This window comes from Homo sapiens, chromosome 7 (genome assembly GCF_000001405.40).
Source record: "Homo sapiens chromosome 7, GRCh38.p14 Primary Assembly".
Taxonomy (NCBI): domain Eukaryota; kingdom Metazoa; phylum Chordata; class Mammalia; order Primates; family Hominidae; genus Homo; species Homo sapiens.
Window position 1 is genome coordinate 132,827,291 of NC_000007.14, and position 12,180 is coordinate 132,839,470.

General features: G+C 37.6%; 1 protein-coding gene across 4 annotated transcripts in view; it reads right to left on the minus strand.

Moving 5' to 3' along the window:
* CHCHD3 (coiled-coil-helix-coiled-coil-helix domain containing 3) overlaps window positions 1-12,180 on the minus strand; it is a 297,221-nt gene that overhangs the window by 42,421 nt on the left and 242,620 nt on the right. For all 4 annotated transcript variants that reach the window (NR_133671.2, NM_017812.4, NM_001317177.2 and 1 more), the window contains one exon: window positions 11,109-11,179. Coding sequence is in view for 3 of the 4 variants with exons in the window: in NM_017812.4 (NP_060282.1) it covers window positions 11,109-11,179 (71 nt within the window). In the remaining variant the exon portion in view is untranslated. The remainder of the gene's footprint in view (window positions 1-11,108; window positions 11,180-12,180) is intronic.

The window sequence follows — 12,180 nt, forward strand, 5'->3', positions numbered from 1 at the left end:
TTTGGAATATTTGCATATGCATAAAGACATATCTTGGGGATGGGACCCCAACCAAAATATGGAATCCATTTATGTTTCATATATACTATACATAGCCTGAAGGTCATTTTCTTCCTGAGGCACAGTCAACAGACTACATGTTGTGGACCTGCCTTTGACTGTGACCTGTCACATGAGGTCAGGTGTGGAATTTTCAACTTGTGGCATCATGTTGGCATGCAAAAAGTTTCCAATCTTGGAGGATTTGGGGTTTTCAGATTAGGGCTGCTCAGCCTGTATATCACAATGCACCAATCTTCAGTGTTCATATTGTATTAGAAGTTACATACCTGTATATACTTGTAAAACTATCACTCAGAATACAACAGAATATTCCCAAAATCTCAGAAATGCTGCTTGGGTCCCTTTCCAATCAAATCTCCTCTATTCCCACCACAGGCAAATGTTGCCTATTTTTGAACATCGTTTAAATGAACCACATAGGAAGTACTGTTTTGCATCTGGCTTCTTTGTGTGTACCATGATGTTTGAGATCCATCCGTGCTGTTACATGTATCGATAGTTTGCTCTTCTCTATTGCTGAATAGTGTTCTACTGTATGAATATAAAGTAGAAAACTGCGCTTTTTATCCCTATATTCCAATCAGCTTTGCCATCTCTCCTGCCCCTTTCTGCAGGATACCACTGAGTTGAGTGGAATACTGTCTGTTTTGTTTCTCCATTCCCTCAATGATGACCATTCGGATTGTTGCTAGTTTTTGATACTATGAATAAACCTGCTATGAACATAGGTGTACAAGTCTTTTTGTAGATGTATATTTTCATTTCTCTTGGGTAAATACCTAGGACTAGACTTGTTGCATCATACAGCAAGTGTATGCTTTACATTTATAAGGAACTGCCAACATTTTTTTTCAAAGGACTTTTGCCATTGTATACCCCCACCAGCAAAGTGAGTTCTGGTTTCTCCACAATCTTTCCAGACAATTAGTATTGTCAGTCTTCTTGATTTTTGCCATTCCTATGTTTTAAATGTACAGTTCCCTGGTATCTAATGATGTAGAAACTCCTTTCATGTGCTATTTGGCCATTCTTACATCTTCCTTTGAAGTGTCCAAGTCTTTTGCCCATGAAAAAAATTTTCCTAATGATGTCTTAAGATGGGCAGAATTTTAAAATTTTATAAGGTCCAATCTAACAATTTTTGTATTTTGTTTGCTTATCTCTTAAGAAAAATCAGAAGAGCCAGAAATAAGAATACTTGACAAGACTGAAACCATGAGGGGTGACTTGGTAATTATACATTCAAATGAGCAACAAGAATACAAGTTTAAATACAATGTATCCTGAAAGTTCTGGTTTCAATTTTAGTATGTGGTTTTACCCCAGGCAGAGTGAATGGGCAGCTAAATACATTCATAAGTTAATTATCTGACTGAAACCAGGGAAGGGCTGATAGCATCTGGGATAGGCTTACCAAACTCTGGAGTGATAAGACATAATTAATTTGATGTTATACTATGGCTGAACCTATATAATGTTCCAGAAACTACCCTGAGCTACCATTTTTATGTGTAGATAACTTCTTTGATAAAATCTTTAACTGTGCTCAAGTCCTAAGATTGTTAACTTTGCATATCTGACATAAGGACAGAATTTAAATTCTACCTTCTAGAAGTCTTTCTGGATATCTTATAACAGGGCAGGTCAGTCAGACAATTAACTCTTAACTTGGCTTCCTACAAGTTTCACTGTAGCTTAGTTGCACTCAAAACGCAAAATATGTTTTCTTATCTTTGAAAGCATGATTTTTAACTGAAGCCCTTAACAAGTAAATGAATTCTAGTTGGAATTGGCAAGAGGACAAACCTAGTAGTCTCAGTTAGAAATGTCTTTTCCAACTGTGAGCTGTGTAGTTAATTACTCAAGTAAGCAAGGATCAATAAACAAATTCCAAAATATCATGTACCCTAGAACTCAGAATGATCTCATTTAAAATATTATGATACAAGGAAGGAAATAAGCTATCATTTTGGCAGAATCTTCATTTATCTAACTAACAGTGTGCAATTAATATTTCATATAACCATGTAGGGTATACTAGATTCTTAATGGATCGTATTGATTAAGAAGAAAGTTCAATACTGATGTTCCTGCTGGGGAAGACAGAATGATTTGTTAGCTCACACAGAACGAATCATGAATCCAGGAGTGTATGGCCACAAACCTAAGAGCTGCCACAAGAATGGTTTGATCATTTACATGTTTACACATAAACCACTTATACGAAAGGAAAGAAGATGCTTGGTGCAACACCAATAAACCCCAACTGCCACAGCAAGAACAGAGAAGAATGCTCCAGGTCATGGACTTACGAAGGACGTGGCCAATCTGGCTGCACCATCAGCAGCTTATTTCACCAGCTGAGATTCCTTTACACCCTATGCTGAAGTGATGGAAAAAAGTTTCCAAAGTGACCCTTTTGGTCTTGTGACCATGTTCATGAGATGGCTGCATTTTGCATTGTCTTTTTAGAGAAATTAACAATACTCTCTTGTCCTTGGTGTACACTCCTGCTCCTGCCCTTTTTATCCCTATATTCCCAATCAGCTTTGCCATCTGCCCTGCCCTTTTCTGCAGGATACCACTGAGTTGAGTGGAATACTGTGGCGACCAGTCATGGAGTAGAGAGATAATGCAGATGGAAATCTCTCTTGTTAATGTTTCTTGACATTTACTTCTATTATCTTAGAAAATAGTATTTAGACCAAGTATAGAGATCTCACCCAAGGAACTAAAAAGAAAGTAAATAACTAACCAGGCAGATCTGATTTGAAGGGCTCCAATTTTAGAAGGGGGGAAAAAGCATTAATACCGAAGCTTTCTTTGTAAATATAACCAATTCTAAATGGGTATCGTAAGAAATACTGTTAAATATTGGCATGCTCCAAAGCCAGTCTCACTTTCCTTGGACTAATTTGTTGCTTGGTGGGAGGTGGACAGACAAACAAACCAGGCAGATTGACAGCTTGGGAGCTGGCACTACCTTACATATCCCCGATGAGATACGGAAGGAGCTGCATCATCTACAACTTTCCTAAAATGGGAGCCACTATCTTGCAGTTGAATAAAACAACTTACGACCATTTTTTAGATAAGGATCAAAGACAACTTTCTCAGTTAACTTTTAAACTTTCTCAGCTTATATGCCCTACAGAAGGTGACAGTTATAATTTACATTTTATAGATGGAAGACACAAGTCAAAGACATAATAAATAACCTGCCTGAGGAATTTTGTGTTCTAAATAACCGAGTCCATGTGACAGCCAAATGTGTATTTGCCATTAGCTTCATATACAAAGTATATTCATAAGTACATTAACATCTTTCTTCAATTTCAGAAATGAAATCCTCCTCCAGCAGCACATTTGCAAATTCCAGAGGGGACATGATATACTATGGAAGTTGACATAGGTGAGCTGATGTTTTAAAAACAAAAACCAACAAATAACTCGAAACTTCTAAAGACGTAATTGTAACCAAGAGGCTTGTGCACAAAGGGTACAGGTATATTTACTTTATCTAGAATTTTGCCTCTTCAATTACTAAGTCTCTTACTGAATAATCAAGATGTTACTTGGCTCCAAGGACCGTGGGGAATAAAATGTCACCACTGCAGCTGCTATATTTCTTGCTCACAGCCCTTCAAATTAAAAAAGGGGGAAAAAAGGCCCAATACAAATGCAGAATTTAATTAGTTAGTAAAAGCCCAAATCCTTGCCTGAAGCCCTGTTCTTCCTGTAATATCGCATTCTTTTCTTCTTGTGTAAACTTTTCATTATGAAGGAGACATCTTTATAATACAATAACTCTAGTTATAATGTAACTGCTGGTAACATAACTCCTGCATTAGAGAAGGCAGCATGTTCAAGTAATGTTGTTTTAATACAATTTGTGTTCAGCAGAAACCAAGTCAACTTGATCATTTAGAATTTGATCAATGTGAATTAGTGTCTTACTGAGATACACCATTTGATCATTTCAAAACTGATCAATGAGAATCAGAGATAAAACATTTATCATGTACATTTGGTATATTAGATCCATTCACACAGCACTAAAGTAGGTTATAAGTAGACATCAATACGTGTTAGAGAAGATGTTCAGGATACCTGTCAGCTGCAGATACAAATACACGTGAAACAGCATATAATTTTAATACTTTTGATAAGGCATGTTACTCAATAAGGGAGCTGGAGTCACTGACAAATTGCAAGAACTCAACTTCAGAGAAACTAGAAAGAGAAGCACAGAACTTAATAGCTCAAACTTTTGAAATAAGTTTTAATTAAAAGTTTAAGAAGAAAGATAAGTAACATAAATTTACCTGATTAAACTTCTAGAAGAATTTTAAGACTATTAATCAGAGTAAACTTTGTACTTTTAGTACAATTAGTTCTATTAATCTAATATTTCCAAAATGAGGTTGCATTGACATTCAGGCTCACTGGCTTATGCATCTAGCAGAATTATAAATTTGCCAGTCAAAACCGTATTTAATTATTTTACAGCCAATTAAGCAGGATCTTTAAACACCATTGCTTAAAACTGTCCATGATACACATGTGTAATTATACAGAACATGAGAAACACCTGCTGATACTATTGGCGTGTCTTCCTCGGCTTCACCAATTCATCCGTAATATAGCTATTAAAATATTACATCCAAAAAAGAAACTAAACAATATTGCCAGTGAAAGTGCAACCCCTAAAAAAGAAAAAAAAATCAAGGACATTTTAAAGTCAAAGGGTTTTACATTGAAGAAAACCTTTAAAGATGGTAATATTTACAAAATCCATTTTATCTGTATGAGTTCTGCATAGTATTCCTCAGATACTCTAAAATCACCTAAACTACTTTTACAGGGTAACTAATCTTTTAATACTTTATAAGGATAACCTAAGCTTCTTCTATGAGCCTAAATTTATAAGTCAGGTTTCAACAACTTCATTCAGGGATAAAAGCGAAAACCCCTCTAAAATCTGGCACACAAAGGAGTATTACTGGTATTCACTTCCAAGTTCATAGACTTGTACTTCTTTAGAAGTGCTTCTTCTTTCACAGAAACTGAAGCCATGTTAAAAAGTTGTACCTCTAATGAAATCATTCCAAAAATATTTTCAATAGATCTATGTCACTTTCCATGCATATTTTTTCTTTCTTTTATGGAAAATAGAAACTCGCCACTTCATTATGTAAAGGACAGAATGAGAATGAAGTATCAATTGTCCTGTAAAATGCTTTTCATTTGTTTACTATCACATTGTCTTTACCATGCCTATATTGCCTTTAAAATATTTAACATGTCTTTGATATTTGCTTTACATTTACTTGATATTTGCTTTTCTATTTTAAAAACAATTCACATGCATAAACACTCTGGTAACATCTTCTTTCTATAGGTGTGGCATATCAGCTCCAATGTAGCCACAGAGATCTGATTCTGACATTGACCAAGAAACAGGAGGCCGGCAGCACTCCAGCTACATTGCTGTGAGGCTTCTCTTACATGCTATTCTATCATGAGTGCTTTATGTGCCGGTCATCCTGGCTAGAGTATGAGCTCCATAAGGGTAAGAACTCCTTCTAATGTGCTAGAGGTTTAGCAGCATCTAGAATTTGTTTAAAAACAAATACAGAGATTTCTCCGATAGCACATAGTTTCATAACTTTTGATAATCAAATGCAGTATTTATTACTTTGTGCTAGGTCTGTGTTAAGAACTACACATGTAACATTATTAAAATAATACTTTGTTTAATTAATTACCTATGAGGTACAGCATAAGGATTAATATAAAATATAATTTGCATTAGGATGAGCTGTAACATTACTAGCGCCATATAATAGAAACTAGCACCCTAAGTTGTTATAAAATGCGACATGAAGTGTTGACAATTACTGTTTTAGTTGGATTGAGAAAAGAAAAGGTATTCCTTTTGAATTAAGGTTACATATAAGAAGAATGCTGGATTTGCTCAGTGATTTAGGTTTTAGAGCTAAAATTTTAAATCTATTGTGGGAAAATAAACAGTCCAAATTATCTTCGAATCCCTTAGTTCCCACTGAAATCATGGTAAGTAATATTTTTAATAACTTGATATGCATTGGAAATGTAATCACCCCAAAAGAGGAGAACTAACTTTGAATTTTTTAAAAAGATCATCATTTAAAAAGTTTGTCTTCCTTTTGTTTTTCTCTGATGAACTCTGAGTTCCACACTAGTAATAAGATCCTGGCCTGTTTTCTTAGTTGTATATTCAGGCTTGGCTTGTCACACAGGGGCTCTATGAATGAATGATGTGTGGATAAAGTAGGAGAAACAATCCATTAATTCTCAAAGTATTTTACTGCCAAAACTATACATTGAGGGGCTGAAGTATGAGTTAATATCTTAAGCATCCCTAAAATAATTCGATTAGCTATCCTGGTAGGTTACATTAATATGCTGGTGTTAGTCATGGGCAGCTTCAAATGCTCTTAGCTTTCTTTCTCTTTACAGTGATTTGTATGACCCCTGATCAGGTATATAATATTGCCCTTGACACTGCACTTTAAAAAGCTTCTATCTCCTGTAACCAAGATGCACATAAATGAATCCTACTTTCATCAGATACAATTAACTAAATTCTCCTCAAAGTCCTTCAGAACTTGTTGCCTAAGAGGAACTGTTGAGTTCCGGTTCAGGTTCAAGATAGAGCTCCTCAAGGTGATGCTTACAGGTGCTAAGCTGGTCATACAGATAGGAGCCAGTGAAAATAATCTGACCAGGCGAAAAACCCCTGTCATGCAATGCAAATATTATATATTGTCTTACAAAAGTCCTGATTATCTGAGATGGCCAAATTTCTAAAAAGAAATAGCAGTCTACTAAGTAATCTCTGTGCCTTCAAAGATGGTAAGCATCTCCTATACCCAATGTACTATCACTTCCTAGGTGTGAAGCTAATGAACTCACTGCAAATCAAAATACAACATTCTAGGAAGCTCAGCCTAGCAGGAAGTAGCTGGGAGAAAAAACGATATAATGAAAGCCACTCCCTAAAAAACTAGCTATTAGAATTTCTTCAAAGTGTGTTAAAACCTAGGTTTTGTGTGCAATGGAGTTAGTCAAAACGCAAAAATCCAAGGGCACAGTCCCCAAGATTGCTCTCACTTCTGACACATCAACAGCAAGTTTGCAGAGCGGGGGAGGGAGGGTCCAAACCAGCCAAAATTCAATGGTTCAATAATTCACTGAAAGAACTCAGAACTCACTGTAAGCTGTTAAACTCAGTTATGGTTTACTATAGGGCAATGATACAGAAAATCAGCCAAAGGAAGAGATGCATAGGACTGAGCCTGGGGGTTTCCAAATGCAAAGCTTCCAATGTCCTTAGGACCTGCTGCCCTCCTGGTATCAATGTGTGACAGTGCCCATGGAGTCCTGTCAACCAGGAAAGCTCACCTGAGCAGCACTGTTCAGAGTTTTATTGGAGCCTCATTAAACTGCTTGACTGATGGTCCACATGATAAACTCACCTCCCCAGAGGCTGAACTGATACCACATGGTCCAAGGGGCCCAGCAAGAATAGCAATTTCTTTTTTTTCCTCTCATTTATTTATTTATTTATTTATTTATTTATTTATTTATTTAGAGACAGGGTCTTGATCTGTTGCCCAGGCTGGAAGGCAGTGGTGCTATCTCAGCTCACTGCAACCTTTGCCTCCTAGGCTCAGGTGATCCTCCCACCTGAGCCTCCCTCCCCAGTGGCTGGGACTATAGGCATGCGCCACCACACCTGGTTAATTTTTGTATTTTTTTTTTTTTGTAAAGACAGGGATTCACCATGTTGGACAGGCTGGTCTCAAAATCCTGGGGTCAAGCAATCCACCCGCCTCGGCCTCCCTAAGTGCTGGGATTACAGGCATGAGCCACCTCGCCTGGCTGAGAATAACAATTTCTATCACTAGGAAATTCGAAGGATTTAGAATTTCTCAGGAGCTTGGTCCAAAATCCAGACCTCTCTTTGGCCAAGGCCAATTTCTTACTACACAGTTTGGCCATATTATTAATTATTCTTGAATAATATTTAATAGGTAAGACAGAATGATGCTGTTGAGGTTCTGTTTAAAACAAAGCCTAACTTACAGGGCCCTGCTGACTTGCAGGAGGTCAGCCATCATGATGTCAACGTTGTGCTTCCCGTGGCCTCTCGCACTCCAAACCTAGTTCAGGCTGAATGACATGGCAGCTGGGCAGAGATTCAGGACAGAGATTTTTGCATCTAAAATCCAGACCTATCTTTCTCTATGAAATCCACTCTCCACTGATTTTCCAATCTGCTAACCTCATAATTCTGGTTCTTTTGCCCCCTTTATCTAAATGTTAGGGGATGAATTGTGTGTCCTGAAAATTCCTAAGCCCACTGCTCAGTACCTCAGAATGTGACTGTATTTGGGGTGAGGGTCTTTGAGGAGATAATTAAATTGTAGTGAGGTCACAAGGGAGGGTTTTAGTCTAATATGACTGGTATTCTTGTAAGAAAAGCAGATTAGCATGTAGACACAAGAGGAAAGACTGTGTCAAGACACAGGGAGCAGATGGCCATCTATAAGCCAAGGAGAGAGGCCTAGAAGCAACCAGCCCTGGCGTCACCTTGACCTTAGACTTCTAGCCTCCAGAACTGTGAGAAAATACCTTTCTGTTATTTAAGCCACCCGGTCTGTGGTACTTTGCAGTACTGGCAAACTAATACACCAACCAATCACAAATTCATGTGTCTGATTTTTTTTTTTTTAGACAGAGTCTTGCTCTGTTGCCCAGGCTAAAGTGCAATGGCATGATCTCAGCTCACTGCAACCTTTGCCTCTCGGATTCAAGCGATTCTCCTGCCTTAGCCTTAGCTACCTCAGTAGCTGGGATTACAGGCATGCACCACCATGCCCAGCTAATTTTTGTATTTTTAGTAGAGATGGAGTTTTGCCACGTTGCCCAGGCTGATCTTGAACTCCTGGCCTCAAGTGATCTGCCTGCCTCAGTCTCCCAAAGTGCTGGGATTACAGGTGTGAGCCATCACGCCTGGCGCCATGTCTAAACTTTCAACAACTTTTTTTTTCTCTTGCACTTGTAGAGACTTCCCATCTGATTGTTTTTTCTTTTTCTTCTTTTAAGACATAATCTCACTCTGTGACTGGAGTGCAATGGCACAATCATAGCTCACTGCAGTCCTGGGTTCAAGCAGTCTGCCACTTCAGCCTCTCCAATAGCTGGGACCACCAGTATATGCCCCTACAACTGGCTAATTTTTAAGTTGTTCTTTTGTAGATACAGGGTCTCACTATGTTGACCAGGCTGGTTTTGAACTTCAGGCCTCAAGCGATCCTCCTGCCTCAGCCTCTCAAAATGCTGGGATTACAGGTGTGAACCACCACAGCTGACCTTATCTCATTCTTCAAGTTCTTATTTTTCATGTCTCCAACTAAACCTCACATCCACTGCCAGGTTACTTTTCCTTCAGGAGCCCAGAAATCAGAGTGCTCATCTGGTCAAACATCTTCCCATGACTCATTGCTCAATGAAGACCAAACTTCACAGCCCAGCAGCTAATGACCCACTGACCTTTCCAGTTTTATCTTGCACCAGTCTTTCTGACTCAAGACACTGCTTTGTCACCCACCAACTACAGAGCACAGTTTTCCTTCTGAATATCTTTCCCGTCCACCTACTCAATACTCTTCTTAAAGGCTCAACTAAAAAGTCATCTTCTTTATGAAAACTTCACAGATCACTCTAGTCAAAATTGATCTCTAATGTATCCGAAATTTAGCTGTTTTTATAGCTATTGTCTTAGAATAAAGAAATATTCGGGGAGCCAACTCGAAGGTTCTCATGGGATAGAGACAAAAAAAGGTTTACCACCTAAAAAAAAGTCATTATATCATTAGGGAGAAAAATAAACACCTAACTTAAAATAATATATGTAGAGTAACTTAAAAAATCTATAACCAGTTCTATTAATATGTCTAAATTCTTAAGATCTCACATTAATCTCTAATAGTGAGACTTGTGGCCCATCCTTGGAAGGTCTCTCTCTGCTGCCTCTAAAGAGATAGTTCACTACAGAAGGCTGAAGGGCTTTGGCTCTTTAAATAAACCTCAAACTACCTTTAATTTTTAAAAAATTTTATTTTAATCCACATTACAATAACACTAATATCCATTAACACACAAATTGTACTGTAGCAGAAAGTAGTAATTCCACCTTAGGGTTTAATCATTTTATCAAATGCTTGTAAACATGTGCAAGGAAGGAGGTCAGAGCCCGATGCAATCTTTCAACTAAAGCTGTCACAACAACTTTTTTTGCTTCACTAATTTGCGCATGTGCTACTAATAGAGGTTACACAATAGGACTATTTATATACTCAGAAAAATTCTGAATGATGTCTTCTAACCTAATGTGAGAACTGGCAGCAAAGGGAAAGTACAAAGCTATGGGACACGGACACTTTGATCCATCAATTACAGAACATTCATTTAAACACTCCAAGGATTAAGAGAGGTAGCAATTTAACATCACCTTCATAATCAAGGGCCAGGTAAAGTCTATGATTTAAAGCCTTTCAAGGTACATGTGAAGAAATGAAAACAGCCTAACCACGAGAAAGGCAGATACCCAAATTTGGACATGCCCATCATTTTATTATACAAAAGTGAATGGTTTCTATGTTTCCCTTAATACAGTAGCAATTTAACATGACCTTCATAATCAAGAGCATTCTATTTTATATATTATTACAAATGATAATACTATTACCATTGCTTTCAATTTCCCCCTAGTTCATAAAATACATGGATTTGTAACAAGCTTTCATCAAATGCCTTTGTCTTGGCATCTGAATTCCAGTATAGCAGATAACATGGCCCCCATCTCAACCACCCCAAAACTCTTCCAAGTATTCTAGAGTGCTATATAACAAACTATGATCTGTGCAAAAAGCACTAAAACTGTGCTTTCATCTTGTTAAGAATAGTAAATAATTATAATACTATTAAAAACTTACTTGAACTTTGCTTCCACCTCTTCAGCAGCTTTCTGATATTGTTCAGTGGTGACTCTGTAGAACTCTGAGCTCTGTGGACAAAGATTGATAGCAAAGGTTTCACTATCCAAGATGACAAAATGTGTGGAAGATTTACAACTTCAAAAAACACATAAAACCTTGTTTCAGCCACTCAAGCAGTAGAAGACTTTCTTGTATAGGTGGCATGGATACTTATAAAACACATGTAAAGCTACTCGTTTAAATAACAGTAGAGTTGTTGGTATGCGGATTATAATTACAGAGTAAACGTTCACAGTTACAATTCCTTATCATTTGATCCTTTGGAGAAAATTCCTAACATTTTGGAAAGATTCTTTAGATTGCCATTATTTGGAATCTACCCTTGTAAGATCAAAGGATGCCTGAGATCAAAAACTGAAATTCACACACATTCGTATTTATATATTATTCCATTGGTGTTCCTACTAGGATATTAAAGATCATTTCTTTCTACACAATATTTTTGTCATCAAGATGGTATGGCTCATGCCTATAATCCCAGCACTTTGGGAGGCCGAGGTGGGCGGATCACCTGAGGTCAGGAGTTCAAGACCAGCCTGACCAATATGGAGAAACCACGTCTCTACTTTAAAAAAAAAAAATTAGCTGGGCATGGTGGCACATGCCTGTAATCCCAGCTAATCAGGAGGCTGAGGCAGGAGAATCGCTTGAACCCGGGAGGTGGAGGTTGCGGTGAGCGGAGATGGAGCCATTGCACTCCAGTCTGGGCAACAAGAGCAAAATTCCATCTCAAAAAAAAAAAAAAGTTTTCTTTATGGAGCTTAAGTTGTTCTATCATTTCCACGTGACCACAAGAACAACAACATTTATAACTAATCAGTAGGAACAAGGGGGCAGATTTAGATAATTTTAATAACAAAAAATGTTTCCACTATGAACAGGAATGGACACATAAACAACATAAACCAAGATGCAGTGGCAAAGTAATGCCTTTCCTGGGGCAGCAAAATTTATCCATACTGACTAGCTACACTGAAACTGGTCTTATTGCAGGAGATGGCCTAAATGA